Below are 26390 nucleotides of genomic sequence, written 5' to 3' on the forward strand. Positions count from 1 at the left end.
TTCCTGTTTCCTGGATCTCTCATGTATTAGTCTGTTCTCACGCTGCTAATAAAGACATAGCTGAGACTAGGTAATTTATAAAGGAAAGAGGTTTAACTGACTCACAGATCCACATGGCTGGGGAGGCCTTACAATCATGGAAGAAGGCAAATGAGCAAAGTCATGTCTTACATGGTGGCAGACAAGAGAGAGCTTGTGCATGGGAACTCTCATTTATAAAACCATCAGATCTTGTGAGACTTACCACCATGAGAACAGTATGGGGAAACTGCCCCCATGATTCAATTATCTCCACCTGGCCCTGCCCTTGACACGTGGGGATTATTACAGTTCGATGTGAGATTTGGGTGGGGACACAGCCAAACCATATATCCATGTCTTTCTCTCTTCCAGTTTACTCCCTCATTTTAGTGGAGAATATTCTCCATTGGCTTCCTGAAAAATGTCATAAAAGGGGTAAAAGTTTTGAGATCATGCATGTCTAAAATATACTTTATCAACCCTTATGATTACTACTGATAGTCTGTGTATATAATTCTAGGTTGGAAAACTTTGCCTCAGAATTTTGAAGGCATTGTTCCATTGTCTTCCAGCTTTTCAATGCTGCTGCAGGGAAGTCCTGTGAGATTCAAACTCTTGAGCTTTTGTATGAATCACATCTTTTTTCCTCCCTAAAAATTTTTAGGACTTATATGGTACCACTTCAATCTTTGGTAAACCCTTTTTATAATCTGGAAATTAATATCCTTCAATTCTGAAGACTTTTTGAATTATATCTTTAAGAACTTACTCCCTCTGTGTGGAATTTTAAATTATTTGGATGTTGCATCCCCTGGACTTTATGTCTAATATTCTCATCTTTTTTTTTCCCTATTGTTAATTTCTTTGATCTCTTGCTCTCGTGCTTGGAAAACTTCTTCAGTATCACCTTCCAACCCTCCCACTATTTCCGCCCTCCACTACTCACCATCCAACCCTCCCACTACTCCCCCCCTACTACTCACCTTCCAACCCTCCCACTATTTCCTCCCCCACTACTCACCTTCCAACCTTCCCACTATTTCCTCCCCACTACTCATCATCCAACCCTCCCACTATTCCCCCCTACTACTCACCTTCCAACCCTCCCACTATTTCCTCCCCCGACTACTCACCTTCCAACCCTCCCACTATTTCCTCCCCCTACTACTAGTCTGCAGTGTCTTGTTCCTATGTTTATGTCCATGTGTGCACAATGTTTAGCTCCCACTTATAAGTGAGAACATGTGGTACTTGTGTTTTTCTCTTCCTATGTTAGTTTGCTTAGGATTATAGCCTCCAGCTCCATCCATGTTTTTGCCAAAGATATGATTTCATTCTTTTTTATGACTGTGTAGTATTCCATGGTGTATATGTACCACATTTTCTTTATCCAATCCACTACTATGGGCACCTAGGTTGATTCCATGTCTTTGCTATTGTGAATAGCACGGTGATGAACATAGAAATACATGTGTCTTTTTGGTGTAATGATCTATTTTCCTTTGAATATATACCACTGCTGGGCCAAATGGTAGTTTCCCTCTAATATCTGATGATCCTGAGACGGCTGCTCTAGTTTATTCACGGTGTATTTAAAACAGATTAATAGAATCTGTTTGCATATAGTTTTATGATTTTATGACATCTGGGTATCACTGTAAGTGATTTGGCCAGTGCATTACAAGTTCAGTTTCTTAAGACCTTTTCCTTGGGTTGTCTAGAATGCCCACAGAAGACATTTCCAAATCCTTGCCTGAGAGTGAAGTCATTCTGGAACTCAAGTGAAGGGAGAAGGCTGAGGGCTTCAAAATTCAATGTGTGAGCATTTACCGAAACCCTCCTTTTTCAGTACTGGGCATTCATTTTCAGCTGACTGGTCTCCTTCAGATCCTTGAACCTCTGGTGTACTCTCTTAGAAAATATATCTTCTGTCTTCTGTCTGGTTGTGGAAAAGGCAATATCCTGTCTGTATGGAGCAGAGGACAAGATCCAGGAGTCTGACTTCTTCTTAAACTTTTAATCAATCCTGTTTTCACACTACTTTTACCCCTTTTTCTAGTTTATTTGTAGTGTTACTGATTACTGTTTGTTTTGGTGTAAATTGGGGTTGCTCCTTGGTTTCCTTAAGCTGGCTACAATTCAACCTTTTGGATTGTGCTAAGCTATTTACCACCTCCCTCTCTGTTCTCCAGCTTCCAAAGTTTTATTGCTATTATCTCCTCTTCCCATTTTGTCCTCGTGGGTTTGTCTTTTGTGAATCTTTCCAGCCTCCTCCTCCTGCCCTGCCCATTTTGTGCATTTTCTGGAGGAGGCAAGATTAATGAATTTATTCAGTCCTCCATTTTTGATGCTTGTTCCCCAGAGCCTACCAGCTTTCAGTCATGTAGCTTTTATCTTTACAGTGTATCTATTTTCTATCCTCTCTGTCCTATTTCTTTTGGCACCATTCTAACTCAGACCTTCAGAAACTCCCTTGTAAACAAGATCTTCATCCCAAGATTCTTACCATCCCAAGATTAAATCCATTTGGGATAACACTGCCAGGCTAACCTTCCCAAAGCATAGCACTGTGTACACCATCCCCTTGTTTAAAAACCTTTACAACTTGCTACTAATCAACATGAAATATAAATGGTTCGCTCCTGTATTTAAGTTCTGGCATTATATCCCTTGAGACTTTTCTAACCTTGAGACTTATCTGTAAGTTCCTTATACTGCAGCAAAACTAACTTCTCTTTTTCTTCACCCCTTATTCACATCCTTGCCTTCTCACCTCCATACTTTTGTTTATTCTGTTTTTACCTCTTGCAATGTCCTTTTATAATTGTTGATATCTTATCCAGTTTTTCAAGAGTTGATACAAATGCTACCCCTTCAAGAAGCCTTCCTTGACCTCCTCAACAGAGTTTAGTTTGTCTACCCTCTCACCGCCCATGGGACTCTATACCTCTTTTATTCCCATGCTCTGCTATATTTATTTATTATTTATTTATTTTTTTGAGATGGAGTCTCGTTCTGTCACCCAGGCTGGAGTGCGCTGGCACAATTTCGGCTCACTGCAACCTCCACCTCCCTGGTTCAAGCAATTCTCCCTGCCTCAGCCTCTGGAGTAGCTGGAATTACAGGTGCCAGACACCAGGCCTGGCTAATTTTTGTATTTTTAGTAGAGTCAGGGTTTCACTATTTTGGCCAGACTGGTTTTGAACTCCTGACCTCAGGTGATCCGCCCGCCTTGGCCTCCCAAGTGTTGGGATTACAGGCGTGAGCCACTGCGGCTGGCTACTCTTCCACATTTACTGAATGCTTACTCTGTGCCAGGCCCTATTCCAGGAAGTATGTAGCTTTAGGGTGCATAGTATAGGTTCTGGGACAACCCTCCCATCTCTGCCACTATCTCGGTGATCCTGGGTTCTTTATGCCTCAGCTCCTACAAAATAAAGATAATAATACCCACACTTCATGGTGCTTTTATGAAGATTAAATTGGATGATGCCATTAAGCACTGTGCCCGATGCACAGTACAAGCTTTACCTGCTCTTCTGCTTCTTTTGCTGCTGGTTCTTATGACTGCTCAGCTACCTGGCAGGGACTGTGTCCCCTTGAGAAACCAGTACTGCTCCCTTCCCACAGTTTATGCTGAATTAATAATTGCTGAAGTAGAACAAATGAGATCATCCTATCACCTGGCCAATCAAGACATCACTTCTAGCAGGGGTCAGCAAACTTATGTTAAGGGGCCAGATGATATTTTGGCTTTGTAGATCTCTTTTGCAACTACTCAACTCTGCTGTAATTTGTTGTAGTGCAAAAGAAGTCACACATAATACTGAAATAAATAGGTTTGACTGTGTTCCAATAAACCTTCATTTACAGAATCAGAGTTAGGGCACAGGCCACAGTTCACTGAGCCCTGACTTAGAGCAGCAAATACGAGGCAGCAACGCTTAAAAACTATAGCTTCCACTCATTAGTTAACGTATTTCTTTAGACATTCTAGTTTCTTTTTGCCATCTGTGATGGTTAGTGCTACATGTCAACTTGGCTAGGCCATGGTACCCAGCTATTTAGTCTGGAGTCAGGTTCACCAGGAGGATATATATTCTCTGAATCAGTATCCAACATATGGTATGGTTTGTCCCATAACCAGGATTCACAGGTCCCAGAATCAAGGGGTGGAAGTGGGAGTGGCACCACTCACTGTTATCCCTACTGATCCACTAGCAAAATTTTTGCTTCCTGTTCCTATAACTTTATGTTATATTGGCCTAGAGGGCCTAGTTTCAAAGGGAGGAATACTTCTAGCAACAGAAGCAAAAATGATTCCATTGAACTGAAAATTAAGGTGCCACCTGGCTACTTTGGTCTCCTCATGCCTCTGCATCAGCAGGCAAAAAAGGGAGTTATTGTTCTAGCTGGGGTGACTGATCCTGGCTACCAAGGGGAAATTGTACTGTTACTCCACAACAGAGGGAAGGAAGAATGTCTGGAACACCAGAAACACCTTAGGTGGTCCCTTAGTATTGTCACACCCTGTGATTAAAAAGTCAGCAGAAGACAACAACTCAATTCAGGCAGGGCTAACGTCTCAGATCCTTCAGGAATGAAGGTGTGGGTCACCTAACCAGGTAGAGAAAGAACCACGATCAGGCGAGGTGCTTGCTGAGGGCAAAGGGAATATGGGTTGTGTGGTAGAAGGTGGCAGGTTACATGTATCAGCTATGACCACGGGACAAGTTACAGAAAAAAGCCCTGTAAATTGTCATGAGTATTTCTTATCTTTCCATGGATTATTTCCATGTCTCTGTGTGTGTGTGTGTGTGTGTGTGTGTGCACCTGCATGCCAATCTTTGTTTTCTTCCTTCTTTTATCTTCTTATCATATGTCATAAGATGTAGTGACTTTATATCACAGTATTTAAGTACTGTTAACTTTACATCACAGTATTTACATTAAAGCATATCAAGGAGATGCTGGAAAAGTCCAGTGCCCCAGGACTTCATACCCTCTTCTGGGGAAAGGGTTAGTGTGTTTCATGCAGCATAGTTGCAGCATGTCAGATGAACATACAACTTTGTTATTGCCTTTATCTGGAGATTAGGTATGGTTTAAGAAGATGCATATGGGTGCCAAGTTGACAAGGCATAGATTTGTGATAATTTTTTGTGACACCTTGGCTAGGCCAAAGTGTCCAAATATTAGGTCAAACATTATTCTACGTGCTTCTGTGAAGATATTTTTTAGATGAGATTAACATTGAAATCAGTAGACTTTGAGTAAATCAGATGACCCTCCATAATGCGGGTGGGCCTCATCCAATCAGGTGAAGGTCTTAATAGAAAAAACCTGACCTCCCCTCCCACACCCCACCAATCTAAGGGGGACTTCTGGCCAGCAGATTCCAACTGCAACTCCTCCCTGGATCTCTTGCCTGCCTGCCTGCCTACAATGAAGATTTTGGACTTGCATCTCCACAATCTCATAAGCCAATCCCTTTAAAAAAGTCTCAATCTCTCACTCAGTCTCAGTCTCTCCCTCTCTCTCCTACATAGAAAATCGAAATCAAAATTGGTTCTATTTCTCTGGAGAACCCTAATATACAATATTTTCTGAAATACTGCATTTGTACTTTGCATTCTTTGATGATAGAAACAATTATGACTAAAGATATCTTTAGTAAAAGAAACAATCATTGACTTTTTCCCACAGATTAAAACAAACATGCTATGAAAAGTGTTCTAGCAAAAAGCAACAGAGCAGATAATTAGCTCTGGCAAAACAACTTTCAGCATGTGTGACCACTTTTCCTGAAAATATTCAGTTCTGGGTTATGTTAATTATAGGTGCTGTAGTCTCTTTAGGATGAGGGAGACTACTTTTAAGGCCTAGATGTTTGAAACCACTAATATTGAAAGAAACTCTAAGTATGTGGTATCCATGCAATGTGTTTTTAATTAGGTTGGGCAAGGTCTTTAGATAAGATCTTAAACCAAAGGGGCTAAACTTAATTTTCTTTCGAGTCTGCCAAACTGCAACATAAAGGACACAGCTGGTGACTGAGAAAAGCTGTTATAGAAAGAAGTGCAATTATTGTGACTTTTGTGGGTTTACCCATCATGCTATAACCAACAGAATTGAGAAATTCAGCAGAGAGAAATTCAGCTTAGAGAAACCCAACACCACATCAACCATCACACGTGGAGCGATTCCCAGCCAGCCTTCCTATGGCAGCTTTCTCAAAGGTCACAGCTATGGTTCAATGAACTGTCCCAACCTTCCACAGAAAACAGCGATAAATGGGAGGGATTCATCTGTTTCTAACTGATCAAAAATGGTGCTCTATGAGATAATGCAACAGAATTAGCTTGGCTGGGCTCTAGATCTTCTATAGAGATCTGGCTTCTTGGGCAAAGGTGAAGAAAACTGTTTCACATTCCCCACCCACCTCACCCTAGCCCTGAACAAGCTTAACCTCATGCCCTTCAAACAAATAGTCTTTACTGCTTTCTGTGTCAGGGCTCTGCCTGGAACCCTCTGTAGCCCTCTACTTTCTACTTGTTTAAGTCCTGGGCAGTCTTCCTTGATAACATGGTCTCACTTCTCCCCTCATTTCTGAGACCCTCTTTGACTGCCCTGGGCCTCTGTGTATATGTCCCCTCTGAACACTTTCTGCTTTGAATGTCTCTACTGCACATATTGCAGTTATTACTAACAATGACAACAGCAGCAATAACAGCAGCCACCATTTATCAAGCATATAATAAGAAACAGCCTCTGTTCCAAGTGCTTGACATGTGGCAAAATTCTTAAAACCATAATTTAACCCACATACTAATACTACCCTGTAAGAACTAAGGCTTAGAAAGTAACCTGAACTTGCCCAAGGTCAAAGCTATTAGTAGGACATAGAAGCATGATTAAAATCTAGGTCTCTCTGATTCTATCTGCTCCCCATCCTGGCTTCTCAACTTGAATGCATACAACTTGAGGGCTGGGTCCCCGCCTTACTTTGCTCTGTATCTCTATCTGAGTGCTGGGTTGAACACTCAGGTACTGTTTGCTGATGGTCATGTAAAGGGACTTAAAGTTTAGCAGGTGAAAGGCAGGTAAAGAAAGCAGGTAGAGAGGTCAAGGGAGGAGGGTTGGTTCTAATTGTGTGTAAAATTACACAAATGGGCTAATTGGGGGATTATAGCTCATTAATCATAAAACCTGAAATACTATATAAGAATGACTCAATGTGTGCAAGCACATCATGTAATGATTCAGACACTGCACGCTACATATAACAAAATTGGCGTCAGAAAAATTTGATGCCAAAAAATATACACAGACAGATACACAGATAATCAGACACAGATAAGACCTATATTCCATGAACATCTGAAGTTGATAGACTTTGAATGATTAGTTGTGAATAAAGTCAGACAATATCTTTTTTATATTACATACCTTCTGGGATGCATTGTCCAAGAACAAATTTATATCCTTTGCAGCACTTTTTCCTAAGAGACAAACAAACATTTAAAATATAATAATTAGGCTAAAAATAAAATTCTTTCCAGTTATTGTTGTTTGAATGAAATAACTTGTGCCCAGGAAACATTGAGGCATAAAGCAAAGTAGGGGTGAAGTATTTTTAAGGCAATCTGAGATTAAAAGAAAAAATATCAATAATACATGACATTTTCTAATACCGGGATATTCTTTCTGCTACATAATATATGAAATCAACATTTTGAATCCTATGAAATTAAATAATTAACTCCGACTTCAAGATACTTATATTAAGCAATTAAAGGAGTATAGGGCATAAATAGGAAAAGGACCTTTAAGGGTGACCAGGCCTCTCATTCCACAGGCCAAAGAGATACAACTTGTTTATTATAACAATGAATCATAATAACAATACTTGGCTAATTATAACATAATGATTGTTAATTGTAATATAACAATAATTAGGTAGTCAACTATTAAGACCAAGACTGGAACCCAAGCATTCTGATTCTCATTTGAGTGATTTTTTTTTTTAAAACACTTGTACCATATAAGAAACTGAAAGGTACCTAAATGATCTGAATTTAAAATATAGCAAACAGGTCATTCCTAACATAAATATTCAATACTTACTCCACTTCAACCAAGCTAATTTAACCAAGTTAACTACCTACTAGAAGAAAAATATTTACACTCTCTGAATGAATACAGCCAGATGCAGGCTCTCCACAACATAACATGTACAAATGTGACCCATTCTCAAAGAGAAGACAATCAATGCTGCAATCTCCAAAATAACCTATATGTTGGAATTATCAGACTTTAAAGTAGCTATTTAACTATGTTCAACTACATAAAGGAAAATATACCTGCAATGAACAAAACAGAAAATCTCAGCAGAGAAACTACTAAAAGAACAAAACAGAAATTATAGAACTGACAAATAGATCTGAAATTTTTAAACATGCTGCTGGATGTGCTTAGCAGAAGAATGGGGGAATGATGCAGGAAATAATTTGTGAATTTGAAAATAAATGAAAATTATCCAATCTGAAGGAAAGAGAAAAAAAGACTTAAAAAAAGGAACAGAGACGTGTGGGCTAATATCAGAGTCTAAGGTCTGGTACTTGGAGTTGTAGAGGGAGAGGAGACAGTAAATGGAGCAGAAAAATATATTTGAAAAAACAGTGGCTGAAAACCTCCAAAATTGAGTGAGAGACATAAATTTTCAGATTAAAGAAGTTTGGCAAGCCCCAAACGCCTAACTACACACATACACAAAATGCCTAGAGATGTCATGGTCACGCTGCTGAAACCTAAAGAGAAAATCCTGAAAGCAGAGAAAAATTACACATGATATACAGGGAAAGGATGATTTTAATAACCACGAACCTCTCATCAGAAAACCACAGTAACCAGAAGACAGTGATATGACATCCTTTGAGTGCTGAGAAAACAAACTTGTGCAACCCAGAATATCCAGTGAAAATATCCTTCAAGAATGAAGATGCAATGAAGACATTTCAGATTTAAAAAAACTAAAAATTCATTACCAGCAGACCTGTGTTAAAGGGAGTTCTTCAGGCTAACAGGAGATGACACTAGAGGGAAATGTACATTTTTAGGAAGGAATGAAGAGCATTATAAACAGTAAATATCTGAGTACATATGAAGAATTTTTAAGTTCTGGATACATGTGCAGCGCGTGCAGGTTACATAGGTATACGCCATGGTGGTTTGCTGCACCCATCAACCTGTCGTCCAGGTTTTAAGCCCTGCATGCGTTAGGTATTTGTCCTAATGCTCTCCCTCCCCTTGCTCCCCATCCCTCAACAGGCCCCAGTGTATGATGTTCCTGTCCCTGTGTCCATGTGTTCTCATTGTTCAACTCCCACTTACGAGTGAGAACACGCGGTTTTCTGTTCCTGTGTTCGTTTGCTGAGTGATGGTTTCCACTTTCATCCATGTCCCTGCAAAGGACGTGAACTCATTCTTTTTTATGGCTGCTTAGTATTCCATGGTGTATGCCAGTTAGAATGGCGATCATTAAAAAGTCAGGAAACAACAGATGCTGGAGAGGATGTGGAGAAATAGGAACATTTTTACACTGTTGGTAGGAGTGTAAATTAGTTCAACCATTGTGGAAGATAGTGTGGCAATTCCTCAGGGATCTAGAACCAGAAATACTGTTTGACTCAGCAATCCCATTACTGTGTATATACCCTAAGGATTATAAATCATTCTACTATAAAGATACAGGCACACATAGGTTTATTGCAGCACTATTCACAATAGCAAAGACTTGCTCTGAATTTCTTAAAGCAAAAATAATAACATACATTGTCTTACAAGGTTTATAATGCATGTAGTTGCAATAAATATGACAACTGTAGGAAAAAATGGCAGTTGGTTAAATGGACCTATATGGTTATAAAGTCTCTACATTTTATGTAAAATAGCACAACCCTGGCATTTCTGCTGGAGCTAATGTTCCCTTTGTCTCATTGTCTCCTGCTCGCATTACTTTCCCCATTCCTTGCTTTCACCACTTCCATCATCATATATGAGAAGCTGAGAATTAACCAGCTTACAGTGGATCTGCAAATCTCAAGAATATACCCCAAGATATTTTGACTATAAAGGTTAAATTACCGTTTTTAAGAAGTATTTTTTTTTGTAACTATTAAAGACATAAGATTCAAGGTCATTCCTACTGCAACATCATTCTCGCTCATTTGTGTTTGGGCATGCTTTCTAGGAAGAGAAACTGAGTTAAACGTGGTCTACCAGCTGGGAACTGCATGTCACCTACAGCCTATCATGTCACCTGTGTGAACACACCATTTACACATCATGGTGGAGAAAGGAGCACAAACCACTGATTTGGGAAATTAGACATTATCTGTGTCTTAAAACAAGTTTCAGCTTTGTCAAATAATTAGAACTTTCATGTAGGTTACATAAGGTCTTCTAAGAATTTTGGTACACTTTATTTTTTATTAAAATGTGATGAAAAAAATTATTTAAGATCATTATTTTCTACTCTTGCAAATTAGTATAATCTGATTTTATTACAGGTTGAGTAACCCTCATCTGAAATACTTGGGACTAGAAGTGTTCGGATTTCAGATTATTTTGGAGTTTGGCATATTTGCAGAATACCAGCTGAGCATCCCCAGTCCAAAAATCTGAAATCTGAAATGTTTCAATGAGCATTTCTTTTGAAAATGTTTCAAAATTTTGGATTAGGGATGCTCAACCTGTATTGGTCAAATCAATTTGCTGCACTACAATTTGGTCTGCCAGGTAAATTAACATTCCTAGGAGAAACTTAAGTAATCTCCTCCTGAAACAAAATTTATAAAAATTTCATAAAATCCCTAATTAGTTTTATGTGAAATTTATGAAAAGTTCATACAATTGTTAAAAGTCAAATTTGGTAACAGAAATTCTGAAGCATAACTGGGAACAGCAACTCCACTTCATTCCTCTCCCTGTAACATTTCTCACATGCAATGCAGTGGTGGTAGATATCTTACTTCAAAAGCATATGAAGTATGCTTTCAATATAAAAACAGTGGCATTTGGGATGCTATCAAAACAGACTTGAGTGATACAGCTAAGGTCCCCCTGCCTGTACTGGAATTCCCAGCATAGATTAATTTGACATTTTATGTTAGAAGGAAATCATCCATCCAATTTACCAATATGAATGATGTGTGGCAGTGTCCAGAGTGCTCTTATTAGACATAATTTTCCAACCTCTCAAACTAAATTATAATTTTACATACCAAGAGAAGCCCATGAAGATATAAATTTATGATGAGGTACCAGAAGTACAGGGTCCACCTTTATATTGCATGAAACTTAAACTCTGTCTAGTTTTCCATAGTTTAAAAAAGTTCAAGCTCCTAACAACCAGAAGGAAAACTGGCTTGAGTATTCACTAAAATTTTACGGTTATTCCTTACTCCATTACTTGAGGCTGTCCTACAGAAAACTATAAGAGGAAGAAAAGTGTACTAGATGATTTGAAACTCCAGTGATTCATGAGAAAGTTGGATACAAGGGGGAAAAACCCACGTGTTTTTGATACTCAAATCGAACATCACATTTAAACATATGGTTTTATTTGTCTGTTTCTATTTTAATGCTGCATTTAAGATACAACCTCTGAGCTGTTTGATGGCGTTTTAAAGTTCATGCAAATCAATATGATCCCTTACAATCTCTCTTTCCACATCCAAGACATTAAACTTGGGCACTGTGACCTTTATGAGCATTTCAAGGGCTTAGGACTGTCCACGCAGTGGAGTAAGAAGCAACCTGTCATTTGCCTTTTCATGAAATCAGATAATGAAGTGATCTGATATGCTTTCAAAAGGCTATGGAACTCCATCAAGAGAAGATCTGAGTTTCAGGATGGGCATGCATCATTTACATACCTGCTTAGCTAAGAATTTCCCCTTTGCGTTTTTTAATTGCATAACTGACCCCAGCTGTCTGCTCAAGGGAAGGAGTTGTGAGATTCCAGTGCGCCCTTCTGTCTTCCCTAGAGTTCCTGGGAATACATTATTTTGCATGTGAAACACCCATCAATCATAAATCACCATTTAAAATAAATAATGACATATTCTGAAGTATTAAAAAAATAAACACTGGTTGCACGTTATACTGTTTCAAAGATTACTTACAACATTATTTACGTACAATAAAGTTGAGACAGCCAAAGTGAAATCTTGTTACGCAAGCATGGGCACTTGTTAGATCTAACTACAAACACTGCTGTGTGGTTTTTATCTTTAGAAAAACAAACTAAGATGGGGAAAGCTCGTGTGGATTCTGGGGAGACAATCATTCTTAATACCCTTCACGTGTTGTAGCTTGGTTTTCCAAATACAAATACTTTTCTCATTTCTTGGCAAGGGGAAGTGATTAGATGGTTGTTACATAGAAAGGGTGATATCTTGTAATCAAGAAAGTCTGTGGAGTTTCCCCCTGGGTGCCCCTGAGTATTAACACATGTAAAAAAAATAAATAAATAAAAGTCGTGCAGGCAGAAATACAGCCCTCCAGCCAGGAGTGTGTGTGAGCTTTTGGAAGGAAAAACTACATCAGAAAAATGAAGATAACAGAGACTGCATCATCAGACTGTCTGCTGATCATTATGTTAGAGACTAGAAAAGAATTTTAAAAATAACTTCCTATAGTATTAGAAGACTAAAAGTGACCATGAAAGGCCAAGTGAATTAGCAAATATTTGCACCCTTGCTGCAATGCAAGGGTACATTTTTCTATTATTTATTTGGGGTTTTCCTTGCATGGCTGCTTATTCATGCGCCAGATATATCAGATATTTATTTATTTATTTATTTATTTATTTATTTATTTATTTTTTGAGATGGAGCATTGCTCTGTTGCACAGGCTGGAATGCAGTGGCATGATCTCGGCTCCCTGCAACCTTTGCCTCCCAGGTACAAGCGATTCTCCTGCATCAGTATCCTGAGTAGCTGGGATTACAGGCGCCTGCCACCACGCTCAGCTTATTTTCGGTAGACAGGGTTTCGCCATGTTGGCCACGCTGGTCTCGAACTCCTGACCTCAGGTGATCCGCCCGCCTCGGCCTCCCAAAGTGCTAGGATTACAGGCATGAGCCACCGTGCCCGGCCAGATTTTTTTTTTTTTAATGAGAGAGAAAACTGCATGTTTGAGAGTATTTGAGAGTTCTTGGTGTTAAGGTAATGTGTAACAAATGGAGCATTGGCTTTGGGGTCAACAAATGTGGGCTAGAATTTTGGCTCTGACATTTACAGAGCTAGGGATTGCTTGCGCCTTGCTCCTTGGCCTTGCTCCTTAATCTTGGCCTTGCTCCTTAATCTTGCTGAGCTTCAGACTCCTCATGGACAAAACATGAATAAATAGTATCTGCCTTATGAGATAATTGACAGTATTACAGATAATATAAGAAAGGTGCCTAGCACAGGGCCTGGCTTGCAGTCAGAATATGTTCTAGCTGCAGCTTTGTAAATACAACAAGCAAATGGCAAAAGCAACTCTTCCCAGTTGCTTTCATCTTATGACTCATCTCTTTCTTTCCACCTCTTATTTAATGGCTGACAAATCTTTTCTTCTAAAAACAAAATAGGGGAAGAAATAGGGGGAAGACAAGTAGGGGGAGAAATTTTTGATTTCAAGAGGCCGGAAAAGAAATGTTATATTGCTTTCTTCTTTTACAAGTTAACCTCAAATAATGAAAACCAGAAATAAAAATGCAAGCCCCACACCCTATGGATTTAGGAGGCTTCTCTAACCCTGAAACACAATGTATGAACATGGCAAGAGGATTGTGCAGGGTGGAATAACTTCATACCTGGGAGGCTCCAGGGGTGGCTACCGTGGAGAAGCCAGCCAGTCCTCCCTGCAGAACCTCAGCAAGGCTTAGAAACCAGAAGCACCAGCTATTAAGGAAAGTGGAGACCAGGGTGCAGCAAGATGATCTCCAAGTCTGGTGAGAAGGAAGACTTCCATCTTTCTCCCCAACCCCAAAGCAAGTAGCCCCTATCATTTTCCTACTGCAACAAGAAGCAAGAGGTATATTCTTTTGGAAAACTATACCCAAATAAAACAAGGAAACCCCAAACCTACCTATTTATTTATTTACGTGTAAGCTTGTTATTACCAAATCTCAGTGACAATATTAAGAGAATCATAAAAAGCATATCCAAGAAACTCCAGACTCTGGGCTACCAAGCCAGAGAGCTGAGTAGAACCTGGCCTCTAGTAGATAATCCTGGTCAGGCACACAGAAGTCCCAAATGTTTTTAAAGAACCTCTTCAATTTAATATTTCATTCCAAAGCAACGAGCTCCTTCTGATGAAGGCTTCTAAAGGCACACTAGATGGTGGCTTCCTCGCACTGTCAACTACTCAGGCCTAAATGGAGACTTCCGAGACATAAAAACTGGAGAACCCAATTTGCATAATTTTCATCATTCCAGCCACACTGTGGCATGCCTAAGAAGGGAGTCTGGAAGAGATTTTTTTGCCAGAAAGTACAGAGAACATGATCTCCTGGGGCTAATTTTAAAAGGCTGAGGGTTTAAAAGTGGTCCTGAATTTTTCTGCAAAGTTCTTTAGTATGAGGAATCTTTCTTTTCAATGTTCTTCCCTTGCTGAAATCTTTATTGAGCTTTGCATGACTTTGTGTGAACTACTAGAATTCCTTTTACACTACATCCCCCAAGAACAGAACTGAATAAAATCAGTCTCACATCTGAGCATGCTTGGTTCCAGCCTTTTAGCCAGAAAGACTGCTCCTCCCAGGCAAACGTTAAGAGTATCATGGTCACTACAGCAACCACTAAGATAAAACTAAAAACAAAATCCCCTCCACCCACCACCACCAAAACCTGCCTATTTGTTCATCTACATGTAAGCTTGTTATTACCAAATCTCTGTGGCAGTATTAAGAGAATCAGAAAAAGCTTGTTAGGCATAACTTGCTAACACGTACAATTACTGATGGTCAAGATCAAATGAGAAAAACAATATAGTGACACCTGAAAAAAATTAAACATAGAATTACCATATAATCCAGTAACTCCACTAATGGATATGTAGTCAAGAGAATTGAAAGCAGGGACTCAAACAGATATTTGTACACCAATGGTCATAGCAGCATTATTCACAGTAGCCAGAAGGTAGACACATCCCAATGTCCATCAATGGATGAACGGATAAAGAGGTGGTACATACATACAATGGAATGTAGTTCAGCCTTAAAAAGGAAATTCTGATGCATGCTACAACATGGATGAACCTTGAAGACATTATGCTAAGTGAAATAAGCCCAACACAAAAGGAGAAATACGGCATGATTCCACTTATACGAGGTACCTAGAGTATCCAAATTCAAAGAGACAGAAAGTGGAAGCGTGGTTGCCAGGGACTGTAAAGACGGAGTTAGTAGGAAGTTACTGGGTAACGGATACAGAGTTTCAGTTTGGGAAGATGAAAAATTCTGGAGACGGATGGTGGTGATGGATGCAGAACAATGTGAAAGTATTTAATGCCCCTGAATTTTACACCTAAAGTGGTTAAAATGGTAAAATGTACAGTTATTTTTGCCACACACACATACACGCAACAATTAAGTGAAGAAGTAATTCAGTTGAAGTCATTCCTCTAATCATTAAAACCCTGGTCATGGTATCATCTGGGTTTTAACTGTTCAAATTACAGAAAAGTAAAAGGTATATGTGGGAGAGTTATTAAATGGGGCTAAGGTAACAACCAGAAGGTACTCATTCCAACAAGGCCGCAAGCGATGATCTTTTCATAAATTAATCAAATACCTCCTCAAAAACCAGAAGACCTGGAAGTCTGGGCACTGGGCCTTGGGAATGTACTCCCCAGGTGAGAATCCGGGCTCTGCTGCTTGCCGGCTTCAGTCCTTAGATAACTGACATTAAGTTCTTCTAACTCAATTTCCTCATCTGTAAAATGGGATAGTAACACTATCCACTCCACAAGCTTGGGGTGAGGGTTACATGAGTTTAAAGGCATCAAGAGCTTGGTAAGCGCTGGCATGCATCAAGCCCAACAGCACATGTAAAAAGACATCTGCTGTTTTTCCTGTTGTGTCTCCCCCACCGAGCCCACCTGAAAGACACTGAGTGCTGCAAGCAGGGACATCAGGACACAAGGAGCCCCTGCTATAGTCTAACTCCCACAGGCCTGGCTTGAAGTGAAAAGCTGCCAGTCCTCAGTGACAGTAAAACAGGGACCAGGGTCTCAACCATATGTGTTACCACGTTCACTCCTGCTCAAAGACACAATAATTTTACTGGCTAAAAAGAGAAGTGAAACCTCTTAGGCTGCTGAAGCATTTGACTTCTTATGATCAGTGCGATATCCATCTCAATGATTAAAGGCATATGATTGGTTCTCTGTTTACTGAAAGCAGGCCCAGAACTTATAGATGTCAACAGCAGCACACACTACAAGGCTGAGAACATGCTTGCTGGTTCTGACAGTCCTCTCTATCTCCCTGGCATATCAGTGTGCTTCAGACCCACAGGGTCAATGTCCTCAGCAGACACAGACACTCAGATGGCCAGAGCCCCAAGGGGCTTTGGAGACAAGAACCCTGGAATGATTAACTTTCTTATTTTTCTTCTTTTTATTTATTTATTTTTTTTGAGATGGACTCTCGCTCTGTTACCCATGCTGGAGTGCAGTGGTACAATCGCAGCTCACTGCAACCTCTACCTCCTGGGTTCAAGTGATTCTCCTGCCTCAGTCTCCCAAGTAGCTGGGATTACTGGGATGTGCCACCATACCCACATAATTTTGTATTTTTAGTAGAGATGGGGTTTTGCCATGTTGGCCAGGCTGGTCTCGAACTCCTGACATCAAGTGATCTGTATGCCTTGGCTTCCCAAAATGCTGGGATTATAGACGTGAGCCACTGCGCCCAGCCCTGATTAACTTTCTCTTGGCAACTAAGTCAGTGCTACACACTCCACCTCTCTTTGAACCCAGTCTTCCCTCTTTATCTCCCTAAATGAATTTTCTACCTTGTCAACCCTCATTATCTTGCTTGCTGGCTGCCTTTGCCTTAGTTCAAATGAGAAGAAGATCATCACTAAAACATAAGGAAAAAATGTAACAAATTAAAAAAGGCTTGATATTACCTTTGTAAAAAATAAAATATGATTATATTGTATATGTATATACTTATATACGCATAAGGAGTTTTTTTTTTTTTTTTTGAGATGGAGTTTCCTTTTGTCGCCCAGGCTGGAGTGCAGTGGCGTGATCTTGGCTCACTGCAACCTCCACCTCCCAGGTTCAAGTGATTCTCCTGCCCCATCCTCCTGGGTAGCTGGGATTACAAGTGCCCACCATGCCCAGCTAATTTTTTGTATTTTTAGTAGAGACGGGGTTTCGCCATGTTGGGCAGGCTCGTCTCGAACTGCTGACCTCAGGTGATCTGCCTGCCTCGGCCTCCCAAAGTGCTGGGATTACAGGCGTGAGCCACCACACCCAGCCGAGATACTTATTTTTACGTAACAAAATAAAGGTTAGTTTGGAGATTCACCAAGGTATTCACAAGTGGTTCTCTTTATGCAGGTGCGAGACAGGATATTCCCCCTTTTTTTTTTTTTGCATATTTTCTGAATTTTCTATAATGAGCATGAATTGATTTTGTAAGAAAAAATAAAGGAAATAATAAAATAATCATTATTTTTCAAAGTCTTTTGGTTTATTTCTAATGCCAGGCTTGGCAATGGCTTCAGAAACTTCTGGTTTTGAAACTGGGTAAGGAATGATGTTCATGAATGCATGTTTGGCACGACTACATACAGGCATGTCTGCGCCAATCACGATTCACTTCGCCAACCCAAAACAGCAACATTTTAAACAAAGTCGTTGTTGTGACCAGCTATGTTTTAACCAAACAGCTTTTGACTAAGTCACCTGGAGCCACCATATGGTAATTATTAAGAAACTGCTTTAGGAAACCATAGTATCATTTAGTAGGATATTCATTAATTTTACTTTTTTCACCTAAAATTACTGGCTTACTAGAGGTTTACTTTACATAAGATTTTAATGGAACAATTTTCTCCTTTGTAAGACATGTTTAAACCAACAAATCTCTGCTCTCATTTATTTCCATGGTGGCTAATTTTTGGAAGCACTGATGGCTGTGACTCTTACTCTGGAGGTCATTGTCCGGAGACAGCGCATGAAAGACTATTCCTTGGCAGCAATATGGTTCACTGCGAACAGTAACAATTGTGGGATCCAACACCCAAAGACCTGGGCATTTATTTATTTTGATTTTATCCTTAGCTCTCTGAGCATTTTAGGAATACCTGAATGACTATTAGTAATGCTACAATGGCATTTATCAAGCAAATCATAGCTTCAAGCATTAGCATGATACATGATAAACTGACCAATATAACAAAAATTGTTCACCATGGTTACCAAGCATCCTGGAAAGTTTCTGAACTGTCCCCTTGCCACCTCGCCCTCTCACCCTGTAAATTTTCTCTGCAAGTCTGCCATTGCTCCCCCACCTTTTTCCCTTCCTCACAGGGTGGATCCATTTGTAGGATTTATACCCTCACCTTACTGTTCATGGCTCCCTCCTAAGCTGCAAATGTGGGCATTTTAATTGCCTTCATTTTTCTTGCCTGTATTTTCTAAGTTTGTTTAAATAATTATTACATTATTACTGTTGAAATGAGAAAACATTATATTTTGAAACTAATAGAAAAAATAAAAATGGCCAGCCGTGGTGACTTATGCCTGGAATTCCAGCATTTTGGGAAGCCAAGGCGGGCGGATCACCTGAGCTCAGGAGTTCAAGACCTGCCTGGGCAACATGGCAAAATCCCATCTCTACCAAAAATACAAAAATTAGCTGGGTGTGGTGGCATGTGCCTGTAGTCCCAGCTACTCGGGAGGCTGAGGCAGGAGAATCACTTGAGCCCAGTAGGTGGAGAATGCAGTTGAGCCGAGATTGCACCACTGGACTCCAACCTGAACAGCAGCGTGAGACTCTGTCTCCAAACAAACAAACAAACAAACAAAAAAAAACGTTTCATGGTCTATTCCCCAGCTAAGGTGGAAAAGAAAAGCATTCTGGAGGGCACTTTGGGAGGCCGAGGCGAGTGGATTGCCTGAGCTCAGGAGTTCGAGACCAGCCTGGGCAACACGGTGAAACCCTGTCTCTACTAAAATACAAAATTTAGCCAGGTATGGTGGCATGTGCCTATAATCCCAGCTACTCGGGAGACTGAGGCAGTACAATCATTTGAACCTGGAAGGGGGAGGTTGCAGTGGGCCAAGATTGTGCCACTGCACTCCAGCCTGGGCAACAGAGTGAGACTTTGTCTCAAAAAAAAAAAAAAAAAAAAAAAAGAAAAGCATTCTTGGTGTAGCCAGAGGTCTATGGCAAATAATCCACATGCATATTTTAAAATATTGCCTTCTATTTTTTTTTCCCTCTGGTAGAAGCCCCAAATTACCTACAACAGCTGCGTTTTCAGGTCACTAGTGTGACAGAGCCGTTTTCCCATATCTGCTATTCCCTTTTATCTATGGTAACCGAAATCCAAATTACAGCTGGGCACATAACCACCCAGAATTAAGGTAACATTTCCCAGCCTCTCATCCCACCAGGTATGGTCTTATGGATTAGACTGACCAACAGGATGTGAGTGACTGATGGTGGGCAACTTCCAGGCAGTGCCCTTAAACAGATGGGACACATGCCCTCCCTCCCTCCTTCCCCTTCTCCTTCCCATGAGTGTGAATGTGATTGCGGAGGTGATGAGCCATTTTGGACAATGTGACGTCAATGCCCTAGTGATGTAGATCAATACACAAGAAACCTGTATCCGTGACACCACTCGGTTGTGCATAAGAGAAAAATATTTCCATCTTATTTAAGCTGTTGTTTTTGGTTTCAATTACAGAAGCCCAATACACATCCAAAGCCAAAATGACAGAAGGAAATGGAAGAAAGGCCACTGAAATGCAGAGTCAGTGCACCTAAAGAGGCCCAGAGAAGATGTGGCCTTTATTTTGCCCCAGTAACAACTGTGCATGGAGCCCTTGACCCTTACAGAATGCTGACCCTTGAAGTGTAAATGTCTAGAGCCTTCCTTGTAAATTACCCAATGTGAAAGGAGGCTCTGCTTGGACAGGGCTGTGATCCTTCCTCCCACCACACTGTGGGCAGTTCCAGTGGCGCTCGGCCTTTCTGCTGCAGTTCACTGTATAAATGTGGCATTTCCAGGGAGATAGATCAGTACAGGAATCTGTAAATACAATTTGCTGATTCCAAGTTTCGTCTGCAGGTCAGTCACTTGAGAAATTAATGGGACAGTCTTAAAGGAGAGAGTTTCACTTGTAATGACTTTGAGAAGACAAAAAGGGAAGTGATCTGAGATAGTCTTTCTTAGGTTAATAAATCATGATGTGACAGATCCCATTCCTCACATGCATAAAATCCTCAAGGACAATGAAATACAATGGACATTAATTCAGGCCTAAGTCACTGGAAGGAGAAATTCATGTAACACCGAAAGTAGGATTTCTACTTTAAATCATTTACAGATGAGAGGAGGAACCTTCTATTTGTTTTAAATTCTGAACTTCACAGTGACCCAATATCACAGTAAAAATTTCTATTCCGATCAGTTAAAAACTGGAAATATTAAGTTTGACTTAAAGAAGAACTTACTATATACCAAGATAAGCATTTTCCATAGATTATTTAATTCTCATAAAAACTTTTTTTTTTTTAACAGGTGAGAAGCTGGAGCATAGAGCACTTCACTTGTTAAAATTAGTAGCTAAGCCAGGACATGAGCCCAGGCTGCTGGGCTCCAGAGCCCACCTCTTCCCTGAACTGCGTGTTACAGGAGACACAGATTAGTAAGATTTACATTTGGTAAACGAGCAATGTGGGAGAAATGGATATGCTTAGTGGTATGGTTTGACTGTGTCCCCATCCAAATCTCATCTCAAATTGCATCTCCCACAATTCCCACATGTCATAGGAGGAACCCAGTAAGAGCTAATTGAATCATGAGGGTAGGTCTTTCCCATGCTATTATAGTAATAGTGAATAAATCCCATGAGATCTGATGATTTTTTAAAAACAGGAGTTTCCCTGCACAAGCTCTCTCTCTTTGCCTGCCACCATCCATGTAAGATGTGACTTGTTCCTCCTTGCCTTCCACCATGATTGTGAGGCCTCCCCAGCCATGTGGAACTGTAAGTCCATCAAACCTCTTTCTTCCCAGTCTCAGGAAGCAGCATGAAAATGGACTAACACACCTGGCTAGGGACACACAAGACAGAGCAATACAAGCTTCGTAACAGAAGTGTAATGTGTCCTCTCAGTACAGAGGATAAACTCAATTTCAGGAGCCAGGGAAATACATAGGTTGGAGTTGCCTCTGCCCTAGAAAGATATACATAAGGGGCACCCATCCTCATTCACTACCAGCCCTGCCCCTCCAGGGTGGCCCAAATCCACTTTCTCTGTTGTGCAAGCTCAGCTTTCCTCTGGGGAATAATTTTCTCCATCCTTGGTTCAGATGATCCTTAGACAACCTTTAGGATGTCTCTCCCAAACCTGAACCTAATTTAATCTGTAGGGCATAAGAGGCTGGAAATAAAAGACTACAGACAGAGTCGTTAAAAAGGCTACTAAAATATTTCAGCCTAGAGATAAGAGCATGGAGTTGAAAAATGAGGACAGATTTTTTTTTTTTTAATGTTGGGGTTAAAATCTGTAGGACTTCCTAACACACTGGATATACAGAATAAAAAAATCAGAGAAGTCCAAGACTAGAGATTTATTTTTGTAGAGCTGCCTGGGGGATGAGGTTGCCATGAATGAATATGAATTAAATCAGAAGAGAGCTAATTACAAAAGATTTTTACAGCACAGAGTTGGGGATGACTAGAAGGTATTACATTCAGTTTGAACATGCTGCTTAATATGTTTTAGGCTATAGGCAGCTCCAGGGCAAGGCAGGGCATGGAGCTCTAGCGACGACCTGCAGCATGGCAGATGAAGCCAACAATGGATAAATGCACCCAGGGAGGGACCAGGTGCTGTGGCTCACGCCTGTAATCCTAGCACTTTGGGAGGCCAAGGCAGGCAGATCACTTGAGGCCAGGAGTCTGAGACCAGCCTGGCCAACATGGTAAAACCCTGTCTCTACTAAAAATACAAAAAATTAGCGAGGCATGTTGTCCCAGTTACTTGTGGGGCTGAGGCAGGATAATTGCTTGAAACTGGGAGGCGAAGGTTGCAGTGAGCCCGAGATCACACCACTGCACTCCAGCCTGGGGCAACAGGTAAGATCTGTCTTAAAATAATTCCTTCTAGCTCATGTTTCTTTTTTTCCCCTGAGGATGGAGGTGTACTTTTTTTGACCTATACTTTTTCTCTGAAAAAAAAATAGCCATTCATGGAACATTTCACACTTTCATATAACAATTACGTAACTGTGATTAACATGGTTAATCACCGTTTATGTACTTTGGATAATCGGTTTGGATAATTATTCAGACCCAGAGAATTCTTGAGCAAGGGGAGACCTTAACAGTCAAGTCCAGGGCCTCTTTTTTTTTTTTTTTTTCCAGAGCGGGAAACAGAGGTTCAAAATAGGAAAGTGATTTGTTCAGGTTCAGACAGCCAGTTTGTTGGCATCCTTGACATCACTTCCCTGACTAGCTCTTCCCTTTTTAACTCTCTGGCTTCTTTACTGTGCCCAGTTAGGCCACGTGGACATCTCCCCAGCCATGTCCTTGGCCCACGCCATCCCTGGGTGCTTGCCTTTTTTTTTTTTTTTTAAGAAACTTGTCTTGGTCATTCCACACATTGGTATATGTGAGCAGCTATGACTTGGAAGTGTTTTTGCAAACACGTGGAAAAGGAAGATGACCCTCTGACCCTCTGATGTGCCTTTAGATGTGGCACGCACAGTAAGTTCGGTATGACAGCCCAAGATGTACGAGGGGGCACTGCGGCCGCCCTGGTTCTCCAGGCAACTGCCGCTCTCGGGTGGTAATGACCTCTGGACAAACCTACACAAGTGGTGGTTCTCAAAGAGTAGATCACACGCTGGTCAACACGTGACTAAACTCAACCAGGACTTCCAAGGCCCAAGAAGAGATGTTCCTGGTGTAGGGTATACTCTTTTAAAACAACTTAGGCTCTTTGATAGTGGAAGCATTGTTTAATTAGAAGAGAGAAACTACCCCATCTCTATATTGAGTCCTATGGAGTTTGTCACTTATCATAATTTTTTTTCCTTTTTGCAAATTTTAAGAGATAGTGCCTTGGTGTCTTAAGTCTGATCCCTGACAATTACAGCTTCAGTCTCTGTGATAAGGGTGGCTCTGTAGAGAATATCTTACGGGTTACAGGAGGCTATACAGATGTCTACCATTGTACATCCACACTGTGTCTCCTCTAATTGACCATGAACACCTAGAAGGCAGGGGTTGAGTCTCCACTATCTTGAGCACTTAGCCCAGTGTCTGACAAATCACACATGCTCAACATGTTTTTCCTGAAGTTGGCAAGAATTCTCTCCTTGGGAAGAACCTATCCAAGATATTATTTATAAAAATAAGTGTCATAATTTTCTCTTTGTATCTTCTCCAGTCTCTCATTCTTCCTGCCTGTCTCCTTTGCTGTATTACAGGGTATAGAAGGAATTAGGGATTGACAGGAGCAAAGGACAGACTCAAAACAGTGCCTGGCATGTGGTGTAACCTCAGTCATGTTTCTTGTATAAAATAGTGACAGATCCATCACCTTTACCATCTTCTGCCTAATGGGACTGAAAATATTCAACTTTATTTGGAGTAAATACCATTCACTCTGTTTGTGATGAAGAACTCGGAGACTCAGGCAGTCCAGGCAAGCTGTCCAAGATCCAGAATCCAGGGGCTGCTCGGCAACTCAGCCACCTTGTCCAGCTAAGCAGCCGACCTAGGACATTCATTTTGTATCCCTGCTGAGTGGTCACATAAGCCTCTATGTTCAAGAGGCCTGACTGAATCAGAATTATTAACAAGTATAAAATGTGGAGACGTCACATGGTATGGTGGTTATAGGCAGCTGTTTTAAAGACAGGCAGACCTGAGTTTAGGGCTTGATTCTACCACTTGCTCATTTTGATGAATTGATGTAAATTATATATGAGCTTACATTTTAATTTTTTCTTCGGCAAAATGGTATCTCAATATGTACCTTGTGGAGTTATTTTGAACATTAAATGAGATACGTAAAGTACCTAGTATAGCACCTACTATATAATACATGTCCACTAAAGAGTAGTAATGATAGTAATAGTAGCTATTATTATCATCTCCTGTCTTCGCTCAATACAGGGGTTTAAGTATATATTAAATGAATGTTTATAATAGTTACGATGAAGCTCTGTGAAATACTCGGAAGCCAAACAGAATCAAGTGATAATTGAATGCTGACCCTGAGCAACTCACTGATAGATGCCGTGGGGGAAGTACAAAGAGTTATAAGGTAAGAAGAACTCATGGTATCACTGAGCACAGATCATACTGAGTAATATACTGAGCAAAGAACATAAGTGTCTAACAACATCACGCCCTTTAAAAAGAAAATACCCAAGACATCAAAAAGCACTCAGCCCATCAAAAATTACCATAGAATAGAGCAGGGCCAGCTTGGCCTGGTTTGAGGCATCTTTGTACAGTGTGATTTGGATTTCACAGAATAGATAAGGCCACTTAGGGCAGAGAGAAGGCCACAGAAAAGCATGCAGAGGCGCTGGTTATCTCAGCCTAGGGACACCGCACTATTCAATCTTTTTGTTATGTGGTGACAAACACCAGTGCTTTATTAACTAGAACCTCCAACCACCCAGGTACCCCTCAAACCAGTGGTGTCCATCACTTCCTATGGTCCACAGGCCCTTCCTAAGGAAAACTGCCCAGCCCGCAGTCCTCCTGATGGGGTCACTGGGATGGTCCGACTTTGTACCATGAGGCAACGCTCCTGCCCCTCCAGGTTAAAAAGACAGAGAGGGGTATCTCCCAGCCAATCCAGCCGCCTCTGTCTGCCAGGACAAATCCATGTGCCAGACCAATTACAAATCCTGTCCAGGGCTCTAAACAAACATGAACCCCGTGGATCATGCTGGCTGACTGGTCGTTAAGATAGGGTCTGGAGAGACCAGAGTAAGCCAACAATGCGAGTGAGAAGAGGACATCAGCACTGGTGATTCTCCCGAGAGGAGATGCCATGAGGGAGGCACCACGCCTAGGACTGCCTCATTTTCTGCCATCTCCTCACGTTCTAACTCCAGGTATCCCAATTACCACTTCCTTCACTATGGAGATTCATGTGGCATTTCTGTTCTTTGCAACCAAGATCTTTTTTTTTTGTCCAGTTATACTGGTGACAAAAGATACAATTTTGAAACAATTGCATTAATTTGATAAATTATACAATTTGATAAATTGATAAAATTTGATACAATTTTGAGAAATAATAATAGTAGAAAGGGCTTTGATTTGGGTGTTAATCAGAGTTTCCGTGAGTGTGTTTTATCAAAAGCTCAAATTTCTGTTTCGCAGACAGAAGTCCTTCATAAATGGTTCAAATGTAAACTTTTTTACTACCCTGTAGATTCAGTCCATACCATATTGAGACTTGCATTCTAACAGTAACAGCTGAATTTCTATGCATTTTATGGAATTAGTGAATTATTTACTGGTAACCTTAAAGAGTTAGAGCTTGAGTTTAAGCAACAAGAAACCATCTGTACCAGACAGAGCAAAGCAGGCAAGAGTAAGAAAATGTTTCATAAACATGAGTTTGCTCTAAATAGCAGAAGTTTTAGTGTTGTAGGCAACGTTAGTGCATAATTCATTTTCCGTGCCTTGTTGCTTTCTGTCTGGCTGGCTTTTTCTGAGGTCTGTGCCCAGCCAAAAAAAGAGAAATCCATTTGTGGGTTCCATGAGAGAGAAGTGATAAGATTGATAAACAGATGCATTTCTATTTCATGTGGTTGGCCATTCCTTTCAGTTATATTATTAACTGACCCACCTCCCTCAGATCTTTGAAATGCTTTTTAATCTGGTCTCCTGATAAACCCTAAGGCCAAGTGGCTCTCGGAATTTGGAGAGAACAGTTTTTCCTCCCTGTCCTGACTATGGCATTTAAGATAAAGAGCAAATAGTGCCATGTGATTAAACGATATATGTAACCTTGAAAACTTGCCATAGTGGTTTCAGTGTCATTTACTCATACATCCTAAGCACTGCTAGAAAGTCCAGTGAT

The 26390-nt window shown here is 40.6% G+C and overlaps 1 protein-coding gene across 6 annotated transcripts in view; it reads right to left on the bottom strand.

The window, feature by feature from the left end:
• The window catches only part of CCBE1 (collagen and calcium binding EGF domains 1), a 266783-nt gene that overhangs the window by 41777 nt on the left and 198616 nt on the right, over positions 1 to 26390 (bottom strand). For all 6 annotated transcript variants that reach the window (XM_024451091.2, XM_017025557.2, XM_047437302.1 and 3 more), the window contains one exon: positions 7471 to 7523. In XM_024451091.2, the coding sequence (XP_024306859.1) occupies positions 7471 to 7523 (53 nt within the window). The remainder of the gene's footprint in view (positions 1 to 7470; positions 7524 to 26390) is intronic.

The sequence above is a fragment of the Homo sapiens genome, chromosome 18 (assembly GCF_000001405.40).
Source record: "Homo sapiens chromosome 18, GRCh38.p14 Primary Assembly".
Taxonomy (NCBI): Eukaryota; Metazoa; Chordata; class Mammalia; order Primates; family Hominidae; genus Homo; species Homo sapiens.